This window comes from Homo sapiens, chromosome X (genome assembly GCF_000001405.40).
Source record: "Homo sapiens chromosome X, GRCh38.p14 Primary Assembly".
Taxonomy (NCBI): domain Eukaryota; kingdom Metazoa; phylum Chordata; class Mammalia; order Primates; family Hominidae; genus Homo; species Homo sapiens.
This window is the reverse complement of record NC_000023.11, coordinates 18,975,752-18,989,173: the sequence shown is the minus strand read 5'-3', so window position 1 is coordinate 18,989,173 and position 13,422 is coordinate 18,975,752. Positions and strand designations below refer to the sequence as shown.

Genomic DNA, 13,422 nt, shown 5'->3' with positions numbered 1-13,422 from the left:
CACTTTGGGAGGCTGACGCAGGTGGATTGCTTGAGTGCAGGAGTTGGAGACCAGCCCGGGCAGCACAGGGAGACCCCTGTCTCTACAAAAAATTAAAAATTAGTTAGTCATAGTGTTGTGTGCCTGTACTCCTAGCTACTCAGGAGGCTGAGGATGGAGGACTGCTTGAGCCTGGAAGTTTGGGGCTGCAGTGAACCACGATTGTGCCATTGCACTCCAGCTTAGGCGACAGAGCGAGACACCATCTCTTAAGAAGACAAACATAACAGTAACATCTTTTGGAAATCAGCAGGTACCCTGTGACTATGAAATTAGAGCAAGGGTTGTTCTGCCTCATGAGATCAGTTTCTGAGGTCTCCTTTCCCATTACTCTTTCAAGATTATCTCTTCAACACATTGCCTTTGGCCTGTAGGCAATGTACAAGACCCAATTCAGATCTCATCCAAGTATCTGCTTCCTCAGTGTCAAACAGGTAGGACTACTGAAAAGTGAGAACAGGATTTGGGATTTCTGCATTGCTGGTTAGCATGTGGGATCCCCAAATACGGGAAGCTGGCCTCACCCTGGTAAGAGGTCTCTGAGCAATCTCTTCTTCAAGGTCCTCAGCTCCCACAAAGATGCCGAGTACTAAATTCAAAGGAAGATGTGAGATCCTCTAGATTGGGAGAGGGGTGAGACCTCAGAAATCAATCCCCCAAAACAGATTATATAACCAAAATATACATAAAAGGATGCACAATGTCCAGTATCCTTTAGGTCCCACCCCCTTATTTTTCCTACTGTGTCTGTGCTGTGGTCCTTAAGCAGAATTCTCTCATCTATTTTTCTTACTTTAGACAGACGTACGGCAGGACAGAGAGTGTTTCTGAGAAGCATCCTCCTTTGGGTCTAAGATTGATCCCATGTTCTGAGACTCTATTGTAAGGAAACAGAGGTGGTGCCAATATTAGGAGGCAAGGAGTGTCAGGGCAGAGGCCAGTATTTAAAGAAGTATTTCCTCAAAATATTGGAGTAGTTTTTTTTTGTTTTGTTTTGTTTTTCCTCAAAACACACTGCAGTCATTAACCCCACAAAGGAAGTCTGCTGACTTCAGTGAGCAGCATCATGATCGTTCTTACTGAAAATGGTGAAGCAAGCCAGGCAAGCACCTGTAGTCCCAGCTACTTGGGAGGCGGAGGCAGGAGGATCGCTTGAGCCAGGAAATTGGAGTCCATCCTGGGCAACACAGAAAGACCTCCTGTCTTTAAAACAAACAAACAAAAAACGATGAAACAGCTTCACTTGGGATACTGGGTATGTCTAAGGAGGTCAGCTAGGAGTCAGTCGGTTTGTCAAAGGCCATTTAGACAAAGATTAATTTACAGCATAACCAATTCACAGAGTGGACTTGTTTGGTGTCATTTTGTCTCCATAACAGCATTTTAAGGACTAGTTTGTCTTTGTCTCTGCTCCTTGCTGTTCTAGTTGGAGTCCGAAGGAAAGGAAAAAGGAAAGACTGGGTAGACATAAGAACATAATCTTCAATTTGAAGAATTCTTATCAGTGTATACTTTTTTTTTCTTTTTTTTTTTTTTTTTTTGAGACAGAGTCTCGCTCTATCACCCAGGCTGGAGTGCAATGGTGCAATCTTGGCTCACTGCACTCTCCACTTCCTGGGTTCAAGCAATTCTCCTGCCTCAGCCTCTCGAGTAGCTGAGATTACAGGCACCTGCCACCATGCCCAGCTAATTTTTGTATTTTTTGTAGAGATAGGGTTTCACCATATTGGCCAGGCTGGTCTTGAACTCCTGACCTCAAGTGATCCACCAGCCTCAGCCTTCCAAAGTGCTGGGATTACAGGTGTGAGCCACTGCGCCTGGCCAGTATATACTGCTTTCTTTTCATGTTAGTCTCCAGGTACAGCATCAAGAAGTCAGAGCAGGCAAAAATGGAATATATGTTCTTTTAGAATATATTCTTTTAAATATATTTAATAAATATATTCCTCACTGTGAAGAAATCTTATGTTCCCTGGTGTTTCCTCTCTTTATCTCTTAGCCTCAAACGAGCTACAGGAAGCTGGAGCAGAGACAAATTCAACATTCTTTAAAATGTAACGAAAAAATGATTTCCAGTCAACTAAATTATCATAGAAATAACTAAATTTGGTGAATTGGTCATTTTCAGCAAATTCATTCAGAATTGACCTTCTGGGTCAAAGATGGAGTGATTTTCTTTAGAGCCAAAGACCTGAACCCTACAAGAGAAACATTTATTGGTTTCCACCTTGGATGTTAACATGGGGCTCTCTGGAAACTACCTGGGCTGAAGTCTCTGTGGCAGGATGATGGCAGATCCTCTGGCTGGGGTCAGAAAAATCATACATGGTGCTACCCCAGGGTCCAGTTCTGGGTCTTCATTTTTATGGAGATCATGAATCAGCTTCAGAAACAATAACATTCCCTATCATTATACTATATCTGATTCTTGACAAATATTTGAGAAATGACTTGGAGACAAGTTTCTATTGGTGATAACCAGAGAATGGCTTCATGGATATGGGGACCAAGATATGGAGGTTTTGCACCTCAGGGATATGAGGATACTAAAATGTGAGACTGATTTATTATATAGTACAGCTTTCTGGTCCAAAATGAATCACTAAAATTTGCTTTAAAAATTTAAAAGCTAAAACGGAGTAGCCTTCCTTCTTGGTTTTATCCCAGAATTTTGAGCTTATTGAAGAACATAGCTTATATATTGCTATGCAATCGCATAGACCAAAGCCGAAGAATGTAGATTGCCTATACACCAAAAGGGGTGCAAATGTGCACAGCAGAATTAGCGAAGAATGAAGTCAGGAAACTGAAAATGTTTCTATACTAGGTGGAAATGCCAGATAAGGAGCAAAGATCATCAGTTATTTCCCATATGGCTGCAAAATCAACTCCTAAGGAAGGACCCAATGGAAACAAAAGCCACAATGAAAAGAAGCAATGATCCCAGCTTTTAGATGGAGATGAATACATGAAAATTCTAGCAAGAGTACATATTCAGATTCCAAAACATTTAGTGGTGATAACAATGTCTAGTTTTATTCACCCCTAGACCACAGCAAATTCTTCATGGAGGCACATCACATGGATCACTGCATAATTCAAAAGCCAATATTAAGAAAACAAAGTATTATATGAAGTAATATGTGAGCTGATGTGGGGTTTGGTGCTTTAGTTGAGTGACAGAGTAAAGCCATAGATTTATGTTCTGGAATATCTAATATAAACTTGGTTAAGGACCAAACATAAGGGAACGCAGCTAAGCAGGACTGATTTCATTTACTCATGCGAGCAACATTAATTGAGCTCCAACTATATGCTCAACACTGTACCAGGCATAGTAGGAGATACCAAAAGACTGTTTCAATGAATAACGTACATTCCAATTAGGAAAATATGCCTCATCCACACATGAAAACATAAATAACAACAGGAGGCAATACATTGTGGCCAAGTGACAACGAAATTAGCTATGATTTATTAAGTATTTTTCTACTAGCCAGGCTTGTGCTAAATGCTTTATATTCATCCTCTTGATCTTAAGTCATCCTGTGAGGTAGGTGCTATGATTATCTCCATTTTACAGATGAGAACACTTAAGTTCAAACATGTAAAACGGGATGCCAAAGGTCATACGACTTGTAAATGACAGAACTGACATTTGAACTCAAAATGAACTGACTCTAAGTCCTAAGCTCTTACTAAACCAATGGCTACAGAAATTCAGAAAATGGGGAAGGCTAATAGAGGAGCTGAGCTGGCCGTTAAGGGAAAGATAGGCTTCAGTTAGTCAAGGAGGAGGAAGAAGGGCCGAAGGGGTCAAGCATAGAGTAAATGCATGGAGACTGGAAAAGAGCTTGCGGAAATTGATTGCATTAGTCTAGCTGTCCAGTAAATTCCTATGTGGGCCAGATTTTGGTGGACAATGAATACCAGGCCGAAGATTGTGAACTGTAGGTTATCAGCAGCCACGAAACATTATAATGAATGCCAAGTTTCAAGCTGTAGACCCGTGGGAGATGAACTGCGAACCTGCCCGAGGAAGCGGCGCCCAAGTGGCTAGGGGCGGGGTCACAGGCGCCAGAGGTGTCGCTGGGGCACCTCTCCGGGCCTTCCCCCTTTTTCTTCCGGGCTGGGTCCCGCTACTCCAGTTCCGCTAGGCGGCGGAGACGGGGCCAGAGGTGGGACTACAATCTTGGCCCTCAGAGGGGTGCCCAGGCGGCCGCGGTAGGCGGCCCTCTTTCTCCGGCCTCGAGTGGGACTGGCACCCGTCTCGGGGGGCTCCACACTACCACGCAGGAAAGCCAACTCGTCCGCCGCCCGAAGCCGGGTTCCCCTAGACTCCCACGGGCCGCCTCCTTTTTCGTCCCCCCCGAGGCCGCGACTCTGAGGGTTCCGCTCTGCGGCGGAGGTGGGGCCAGGGGCGGGGATGTGGGCGGGGCCGTGAGGTCGTTCCAGGGCGCGGGGCGGGGCCGCCCCCTTACCTGTGCCCCTCAGGGTTCCAAACGTTCCACTCCGCGGCAGGGGCGGGGGCGAGTCCGGAGGGCGGGTCCAAGGCGCCCAGGTGGCCGCGGCAGAAGGGCCTGTTTCTCTGGCCTTGGCTGTGGTTGGCAGCCGGCCGGGGAGAGAAGGGACTCAGGGAGGCAACCTGGTTCCCGCCCGTTGCTGATTTCGCAGCGGCTCTCCCGGGCCGCCCCCTTTTCCTTCCTCCTCAGGCCGCGACTTGGAGGGTTCCGCTCCGCGGCGGGGGCAGAGCCAGGGGCGGGGCTGAGCGCGGCCTGGGCGATCTCCCCGGCGGCTGGGGTGGGCTGGCGTCTTCTTCGCGCCCGGGGGACCTCCTCGCGACCGCCGGGACGTAAAAGGGGCTTGGCAGGGGCGTCCTCGCCCCACTCCCGGAACCTGGTTTCCCGCTGCTCCCGCGAGCGTCGGGAGCCCAGCAGGCCTGGCCGAGGCGGGACCTTCGTCGCTCCAGCCCCCGTCCCCGCCCCCGCGCCTCCCCGCCGCGCGGAGCTCTGGTTGGCTTGCTTTCCAACCGGACTTTGGGGCTAGCGTTTAGAAAAGTCTCGACCTCCTCCGGCCCGGTCCCATCCCAAGAACCGACTAAGGCTGTGAGTGTCCGGGAACCAGACCCGCTTGGAGGCCACAGCCCCGACGTCCCGCGCCCACGCGGCAGATCGGGCGCTGCGGCCTGGGAGCCTCGGGGAGATGCGGAGCAGGAGCAATTCCGGGGTCCGCTTGGACGGGTACGCGCGGCTGGTGCAGCAAACCATCCTGTGTTACCAGGTAAGGAGGGACCGCCCCCAGGGAACGCGTGGAACTACCCTCTCATGTAACTCATTCTCCTTCCCAGGTCTGGCCCTCTTGTGACCTGAGACCTTGCAATTAAGAGTTTGCTATTTGAATCTAGTCCTTGCTAGCCAGTGATTACCACCCCATTGCCACCCCGTGCTCCTTAAGATTCAGGGGACCTAACTGTTGCTACGGCTACTTTTCACAGAATTCTTTGGCCATTGTTCAGGATGAGAATGAGCCGCCTCCGTGCCCGGGTCCAAACTGCCTCTTTTTGCATTGACTCTGCTTTTTTTGGACGAGAAGAGGTGTGGGGGGTTTGGACAGACTACACTGAATGAGAACAGTAGACAGGAGTGAAGAAGCTCCTGAAGTTTACGCAGGACTCTGCAGTGTGGGGCGACAGCTACCGTCCCTCCCATGAGCTGTCTTGGTAGAGACCCACCTGGGAAGCCCTTAGGGGCTACTTTGGTTGCTATTTTACAGATAAGAAAATTGTGAGGCTAGAAAGGTCACTGCATGTAGCAGGTCAGACCCAAAGGCTCCCAAGCTCACAGGGTCCTATGACACTGCCCATGTGGTCCGAGGTATGAATTTGCCTGCTATGCTTTGTATTCCTGGGCTAAAATTATGTGTGGGTCCATCAGTGTAAGACCACTGAACTATTTTTATTCCTAGTGAAGACAGCAGCTATGTTTCTTGCCCTCAATCAACAGCAACTATTTATAGGGCCTTCAAAGTCAACGAAGGAAGTGGCATTCAGGGGTTAGAGGCCTGACCTGCAAGTTGGGAGCCATGGTCATTTCCAAGGCACTGACCATTTTCCCTTCTTAACTAATTTCTTAGCCTTGTTTCCTCACTTAGGAAATATTTGTGGTGTATCTGTTATATGCAAAGCACTCTACAAAGTGCTGGGGTTACAAGAATAAATGATCGTAGTGCAGTAACATTTATGCATAAGGTATAGGTCCAAAGTCCCTTAATCTGTTTTCTTTGTTGTTGTTTGTTTGTTTTTGAGACAGGGTCTCACTCTGTCTCCTAGGCTGGAGTGCAGTGGCGCGATCTCGGCTCACTGAAACCTCTGCCTCTCGGGTTCAAGCGATTATCCTGCCTCAGCCTCCCGAGTAGCTGGGACTACAGGCGTGCGCCACCACACCCAGCTAATTTTTGCATTTTTAGTAGTGACGGGGTTTCACTGCGTTGGCCAGGCTGGTCTCGACCTCCTGACTTCAAGTCATCCTCTCACCACGGCCTCCCAAAAGTGCTGGGATTACAGGCATGAGCCACTGCACCTGGCCTCAGAGTCCATTATCTGAAACCCTTTGGACCAGTTGTGGTTTGCCCATCAGAAATGTTTGGCTTTTAGAAAGGTAATATGCGTACAACGTACTATATATACCATAATAACTGCAGCCAGATCTGGGCAGCACCCCTTCATCAAACAGGTTATTACTTCCACATCAGAATATGAATATTCACATAATTTCAGTAAAGGCTGAAAAGAGTTTCATATTAGTTCGGCTCATCTTTTGCCACCAAAAGAGCTTGCTGCAAACTTACGAAAACACTTTAAATTTTCAGAGCTTACTGGCTTTTGAGATTGCACATGAAGGATGATGGTCTTTATTTTGAGAGCTTTGAGGAAGGACCCCTCGCCCAGTTTGTGGGAGCAGTAGAGGAGTCCTGGAAGAGATGATGTTCAAGTTGAGAGCAGAAGAAGTAGGCAGGCAAATCAAGGTTATTTTTCCCCTTCTTCCTTGGAATATATTCTAATTACATCTATAAAGTGTTTTAAAATCCAAGTTGAAAAACCTTTCCCTTCATGACTGTGATGGAGAGGGCTTTAAGGAGAGCTGATGAAGCTTGGTTCTTTTGTCAGACCTGGGTTTGAATCCCCTGCTCTGCCTTGAATGACATGTGTGACCTTTCTTGATCCCTTCTGAGTCCATGCCCTCATCTGTAAAGTGAGGATAATAACACTTGCTTCCACTGAGTGTTTCTAAGGAAAAAATTAGTGCCTACTATCTTGTCTGGCACCTACTGGGCAACAGTAAATAATGGGTGCTCTTGGTGGTGTTATGATTTTGATAGAGGCCACACGTTTGTGCCCAGGCCTCGTGGTCCTTGCAGGAGTACTCTGGCTCATGGTGCGCCCTTTCCTGAAGGTCCTGCTACAGCTCCGCATTCCTTGAGCATAAATATGTCTCCCCATTGATGCCAAGAGATCCTAAGTACAGATACCTCATCAGTTTCCTTCCTTTGCATCAAGCAGTGGCCAAAGGCATGAAAGGTACCCTTAAGTCTTTGTTGGTAGAAGACTTCCAGCAGGACCTGAGTCATCCTAATAACCCAGCTATCCAGGCTTGCCTTCCCTCAGAAGCAAAAGAATTGTCTTCTCATTAAAGCAAATCTGTGAGATTGGACTTTCCTCCCCAACATTTTAATGATTAAAAAAAAGTTGTGTGAGCCTTTAGTTGTATTTATTTTGGGGGTAGTTGGTGAGTAGCCCTCATGTTTGCCCTCTTTTTCCCTTCCTGTGTCATCAAGCTCTTCTGGCTAACCAGGATACTCCCAGCACAGTTCTGCCGGGAAATGCCATGCGCCCACAAGTGCAGGATTGCACCCATTCACCCCCACAACTAGTGTTCACAGTTGTAGAGCCCTAACCCATTCAAGGCCTCATCACCTTCTCTGAGTAATCTTAGGCAGGTCCCCTAACTACTCTAGAAAAACGAATGAGCACTTTTATGTTATGTATATTTTACCACAATTAAAAAAAAAAGAATGAGCTGCACGAACGGTTTCTAAAGTGTATGTTGTATCTCCCCACCTGCTGTAGCTTTGTGCAGATGTTTAGGAGGCATTTTTTTTAGTGTCAGCTGGTAACAAGTTCTAAACTCTGTTTCTGATTTGCTTTTTAAATTGAGATCAATTTACATTGGTTTCATTTGTTAGAAATCATTTTGTGTTAAATATGCCAAGCTAATCACCATTTGAAGGGGCGGCCTGCCCCTCCACACCTGTGGGTATTTCTCGTCGAGTGGGACGAGAGACTGAGAAAAAGAAATAAGACTCAAAGACAAAGTATAGAGAAAGAACAGTGGGCCCAGGAGACCGGCGCTCAGCATACAGAGGACCTGCACCGGCACCGGTCTCTGAGTTCCCTCAGTATTTATTGATTACTATTTTCACTATCTCAGCAAGGGGAATGCGGCAGGAGAACAGGGTGATAGTGGGGAAAAGGTCAGCAAGAAAACATGTGAGCAAAGAAATCTGTGTCACAAATAAGTTCAAGGGAAGGTACTATGCTTGAATGTGCACGTAGGCTAGATTTATGCTTTTCTCCACCCAAACATCTCAGTGGAGTAAAGAGTAACAGAGCAGCATTGCTGCCAGCATATCTCGCCTCCTGCCACAGGGTGGTTTTTCTCCTATCTCAGAATAGAACAAATGTACAATCGGGTTTTATACAGAGACATTCAGTTCCCAGGGGCAGGCAGGAGACAGAGGCCTTCCTCTTTTACTAATCTTCCTCAGCACAGACCCTTCACGGGTGTTGGGCTGGAGGACTGTCAGGTCTTTCCCGTCCCATGAGGCCATATCTCAGGCTATCTCAGTGGGGAGAAACCTTGGACAATACCCGGCTTTCCTGGGCAGAGGTCCCTGCGGCTTTCCGCAGTGCATTGTGCCCCTGGTTTATCGAGAATGGAGAATGGCGATGACTTTTACCAAGCATACTGCCTGTAAACATTTTGTTAACAAGGCACATCCTGCATAGCCCTAGATCCCTTAAACCTTGATTGCATACAACACATGTTTTTGTGAGCTCAAGGTTGGGGCTAAAGTTACATCTCAAGGCAAAACAGTTGTTCAGGGTACAGATCAAAATGGAGTTTCTTATGTCTTCCTTTTCTACATAGACACAGGTAACAGTCTGATCTCTCTTTCTTTTCCCTACAATCATTCTTCTGTTAGAGGTAATAGTTGGTTCACATAATTTCAGTAAGGGCTGAAATTATTAAATTAATTAAATTATTTAATATTAATTATTAATTATTAAATTAAATTATTAGTTAAGCTAACATCTTAATTCCTTTTCCTGTATCTGTGAAAGAGAAGAACTTTTCCCATTAGTCATTTGCCAAATATACTTGCTGCTAAATATTATTTGAATCTTTAATGCAAAGAATGAAAGAGCTATGGTTACAAAAAGGTCCTTTTGCAGGTTTGATTTTGTAAATATATATACTCTAGGAAGTATCTTTAAACATTTGTTGCCTTTAAAAGAAATTCTTAGATTGTTTTGGCTCAGGTAAGAAATATGAACTTTGTACATTTTTTTCACTAACAGCTGTTTGAAGGCTCCTTAATAAAAGTATTAAGTATGAAATGGTGATGAGAATATGGATCAGAAGGAAAAACAATGGTCAAGGCAGTGTTCACTGTAACGACAGATTATTTGGTATAATAAAGCAAATAACTAAGAGACTGGGACAGTAAATACTGTTATTTAATGGCCACGGAATTTAAAATGAGAAGAATGGAATAAATAAAACATGGAGTATGGAACAAATAGTAACAATAATAAAGAGGAATTTGGGAGAGAGTTAAAAAAGATATAATTAAGTATTAGAAAATAATAATATGGCAGAAGAATAGGAAGAGACTGGAGTGAAAGTGTTTTTTTGTTTTGTTTGTTTGTTTGTTTGTTTTTTGAGACAGTCTTGCTCTGTTGCCCAGGTTGGAGTGCGGTGGCATGATCTCACCTCACTGCAGCCTCCACCTCCTGGGTTCCAGTGATTCTCCTGCCTCAACCTCTGGAGTAGCTGGGATTACAGGTGTGTGCCACCATACCTGGCTAATTTTTGTATTTTAAGTAGAGGTGGGGTTTCACCATGCCAGGCTGGTCTTGAACTCCTGACCTCAAGTGATCCACCTGCCTCAGCCTCCCAAAGTGCTGGGATTACAGGTGTGAGCTACTGCTCCCGGCCAGGAGTGAAAGCATTCTGAGGGCCTTATCCCATTAAGAAGGAGGATGAAGGTATTATCCTAGCTTTTAAGATAAGAGTTTGTGTTTAAGCATTACCATTAATATATGTGGCATATATAACTTTATTTTTATTTTAATTTTTTTTTGAGACAGAGTCTCGCTCTGTCACCCAGGCTGGAGTGCAGTGGTGCGATCTCGGCTCACTACAACCTCTGCCTCTCAGGTTCAAGCGATTCTCCTGCCTCAGCCTCCCGAGTAGCTGGGACTACAGGCATGTGCCACCACGCCCGGCTAATTTTTTGTATTTTTAGTAGATACGGGGTTTCACCATGTTAGCCAGGATGGTCTCCATCTCCTGACCTCATGATCCGCCCTACTCAGCCTCTCAAAGTGCTGGGATTATAGGCGTGAGCCACCGCGCCAGGCCTCTGGAATATATAACTTTAAAAACGATTGCAGAATAAAGAAAATCTGATCATCTGAGTGAAGGGAGGAAAAGGCTGCTGGGGAGGGTAGGAAATAAAGAAAAAAGTGTGGTAAATATAAAGTACAAAATAAGATGCAAATAAATCCAACTATACAGTATTAGTAATCACAAGAGTCTTCCTCATTAGTATAGTGGTGAGTATCTCCACCTGTCACAACGAGTATAAATGTTGAAATCCACCAGATAATAGAAATTATTATTATTATTATTATTTTGAGACAGAGTCTTGCTCTGTCACCCAGGGTGGAGTGCAGTGGCATGATCTTGGCTCACTGCAACCTCCGCCTCCCGAGTTCAAGCAATTCTCCTGCCTCAGCCTCCCGAGTACCTGGGATTACAGTCACCATCATGCCCAGCTAATTTTTGTATTTTTAGTAGAGACGGGTTTCGCCATGTTGGCCAGGCTGGTCTCAAACTCCTTACCTCAGGTGATCTGCCCGCCTCGGCCTCCCAAAGTGTTGGGATTACAGGCGTGAGCCACTGCACCTGGCCCAGGTAATAGAAATTATTTTTTTAAAACTTTTTAAAAGGTGTGTGTCATTTGTAAGAGACAAAACCTAAAACATAGGATACTGAGAGGTTGAAAGTAATATAGTGGGACAAGATATACTGGACAAAACTAACCAAAAATACGTTGATGTATGAATATCAGACCGAGTAGACTTTGAAAATTTTTTTTTTGACTTTGAAATTTTTTAAAAATTATATTAGGGATACAGAATGGTATTGCTAGATGACAGAGGGCTAATTCACTAAGAAAAATATAGCAATTTTAAATCTGCAGAATACTAACAACATAGCTTCAAAGTATGTAAAGCAAAATTTGACCTAACTATAGGAGAAGTTGACAAATCCATAATCTTAGTGAGAGTTTTTAAACCCCCTCTCTCAGATACTGTTAGATCAAGCAGAGAAATAATTAGGCCATAGAAAATTGGAGCACCGTAAGAAACAAATTCGATTAAGTACACTTACATAGAATTCCGCACTGAACCAATAGGAAATACTTACTTGTTTCAGCTTCACAAGATATTTTTTCAAAAAGTGATGACAGATTAGAATATAAGGGAAATGTCAAAAAATACTGAAAGATCAACTTTATGCATGCCACATTTTTTTTTGGCCAAAATGCAAGAAAATTAGAAAGCAATAACAAACAATTGCTGATGCCTGTCATATATGTTTGGAAACTTAGCAAGCCTGCTTCTGAATATGTCATGGATCAAAAAAGAAATTATAAGGAAAGTTATGAAAGAGTTAGAACTGAATGACAGCAAAAGCATTCCAAATAAAAATGTATGGGATTACAGCTAAAGTGGGGTTTGAAGTGAAATTTATATCCTTACATGTATATATTGGAAAAGAAGAAAGATTTAAAAATTAATAAACTCACAGTTGTGAAAAGGACAACAGAGTGTATTCAAGAAAATAGAAGAAAGGAAATAAGGGTACAAGCAGCAATTAATGTACTATAAAACAGACAGCAAAGATGGACAAAGTGAAAAACTGATTTTTTGAAAAGACTAGTAAATAGGCAGACTTCTGGCAGGGTTGGTGAGAGGGATCAGGAGAGGGAGGAGGGACAAATGAATAATACAGGAGTCCCCCTTATTCACAGGGGATACATTCCAGACCCTGTGGGTGCCTGAAACCACAGATAGTAGCAACCATATATAAACTGTGTTTTTTCCCTGTACATAGATACCTATGAGAAAGTTTATAAGTAAGAGATTAAGAACAATAATAATAAAATTGAACAATTAAAACAATATACTGTAATAAAAATTATGTGAATGTGGCCTCTCTCTCTCTCTCAAAATATTTTATTGTATGTAGTATTTTCAGACCACAGTTGACCACCAGTAACTAAATGACAGAAAGCAAAAACGGATAAGGAAGGACTACTATATTAAGAGTGGGCTGTTTTCCAGATAAAGGTTACCAGTGTTAAGAAAAAATTAAATCCTGATTAGACCTGTAACCTTTAAAGAAATGGAATGAGTCCAAAAAGTCCTAGTCCAAGATGCTTTTACAGAGAAGGACCAAGGAACATTTAGAGATTGATTTCTTTATGTATCTTGGAAGTTAAAGAATTTGGGCCAGGTGCAGTGGCTCACGCCTGTAATCCCAGCACTTTGGGAGGCCAAGGCAGGTGGATCACCTCAGGTCAGGAGTTTGAGACCAGCCTGGCCAACATAGTGAAACCCCGTCTCTACTAAAAATTCAAAAATTGACCGGGTGTGGTGGCAGGCACCTGTAATCCTAGCTACTCGGGAGGCTGAGGCATGAGAATCACTTGAACCTGGGAGGCAGAGGTTGCAGTGAGCCGAGATCGTGCCACCACACTCCAGTCTGAGCGACAGAGTGAGACTTTGTCTCAAAAAAAAAAAAAAAAAAAAAAAAAGAATTTGACTTTTATTCTGAGTGAGAAGGGAAGCCCTGAGAGGGTTTTGAGCAGGGGAATGATATGATATCATTCAAATCATGTTTGAAAAGAGTCACTCCATTGGCTGCATGGAATATTGACTGTAGGGGACCAAGGAGCAAAGCAGAATGAATGACCAGTTAGGAAGCTTCTGCAGTTGGAGCATGATGACTCAGACAACGGTTGTTCAAGTGG

At 44.3% G+C, this 13,422-nt stretch overlaps 1 protein-coding gene and 1 long non-coding RNA gene across 12 annotated transcripts in view, besides 5 other annotated features; one reads left to right on the top strand and one right to left on the bottom strand.

Moving 5' to 3' along the window:
* The window catches only part of LOC101928415 (uncharacterized), a 69,547-nt gene extending 67,960 nt beyond the window's left edge, over positions 1 to 1,587 (bottom strand). Inside the window, exons 1-2 of one of the 2 annotated variants that reach the window (XR_001755808.2) lie at positions 1,120 to 1,587; positions 833 to 916 (exon numbers count right to left, since the gene is read on the bottom strand). This is a non-coding gene — a long non-coding RNA (uncharacterized LOC101928415). Of the gene's footprint in view, positions 1 to 832 lie in introns of both variants that reach the window. The other variant, XR_001755805.2, reaches the window with a different exon arrangement.
* Positions 4,226 to 4,275: an enhancer, noted in NCBI's record as "active region_29461". NCBI's record gives its function as "activates an Ori minimal core promoter by ATAC-STARR-seq in GM12878 lymphoblastoid cells {active_cell/tissue: GM12878}" and the evidence as "EXISTENCE:reporter gene assay evidence [ECO:0000049][PMID:35858748]".
* Positions 4,257 to 4,757: an enhancer, noted in NCBI's record as "H3K27ac hESC enhancer chrX:19002535-19003035 (GRCh37/hg19 assembly coordinates)". NCBI's record gives its function as "activates a minimal SCP1, AML or CMV promoter by ChIP-STARR-seq in primed H9 embryonic stem cells {active_cell/tissue: H9 hESC(primed)}" and the evidence as "EXISTENCE:reporter gene assay evidence [ECO:0000049][PMID:30033119]".
* Positions 4,257 to 5,258: a biological region, named in NCBI's record as "H3K27ac hESC enhancer GRCh37_chrX:19002034-19002534".
* Positions 4,376 to 5,065: a silencer, noted in NCBI's record as "silent region_20686". NCBI's record gives its function as "represses an Ori minimal core promoter by ATAC-STARR-seq in GM12878 lymphoblastoid cells {active_cell/tissue: GM12878}" and the evidence as "EXISTENCE:reporter gene assay evidence [ECO:0000049][PMID:35858748]".
* Positions 4,758 to 5,258: an enhancer, noted in NCBI's record as "H3K27ac hESC enhancer chrX:19002034-19002534 (GRCh37/hg19 assembly coordinates)". NCBI's record gives its function as "activates a minimal SCP1, AML or CMV promoter by ChIP-STARR-seq in primed H9 embryonic stem cells {active_cell/tissue: H9 hESC(primed)}" and the evidence as "EXISTENCE:reporter gene assay evidence [ECO:0000049][PMID:30033119]".
* PHKA2 (phosphorylase kinase regulatory subunit alpha 2) overlaps positions 5,060 to 13,422 on the top strand; it is a 91,817-nt gene continuing 83,454 nt past the window's right edge. For all 10 annotated transcript variants that reach the window (XR_950461.4, XR_001755697.3, NM_001440804.1 and 7 more), the window contains exon 1: positions 5,060 to 5,319. Coding sequence is in view for 8 of the 10 variants with exons in the window: in NM_001440804.1 (NP_001427733.1) it covers positions 5,242 to 5,319 (78 nt within the window). In the remaining 2 variants the exon portion in view is untranslated. The remainder of the gene's footprint in view (positions 5,320 to 13,422) is intronic.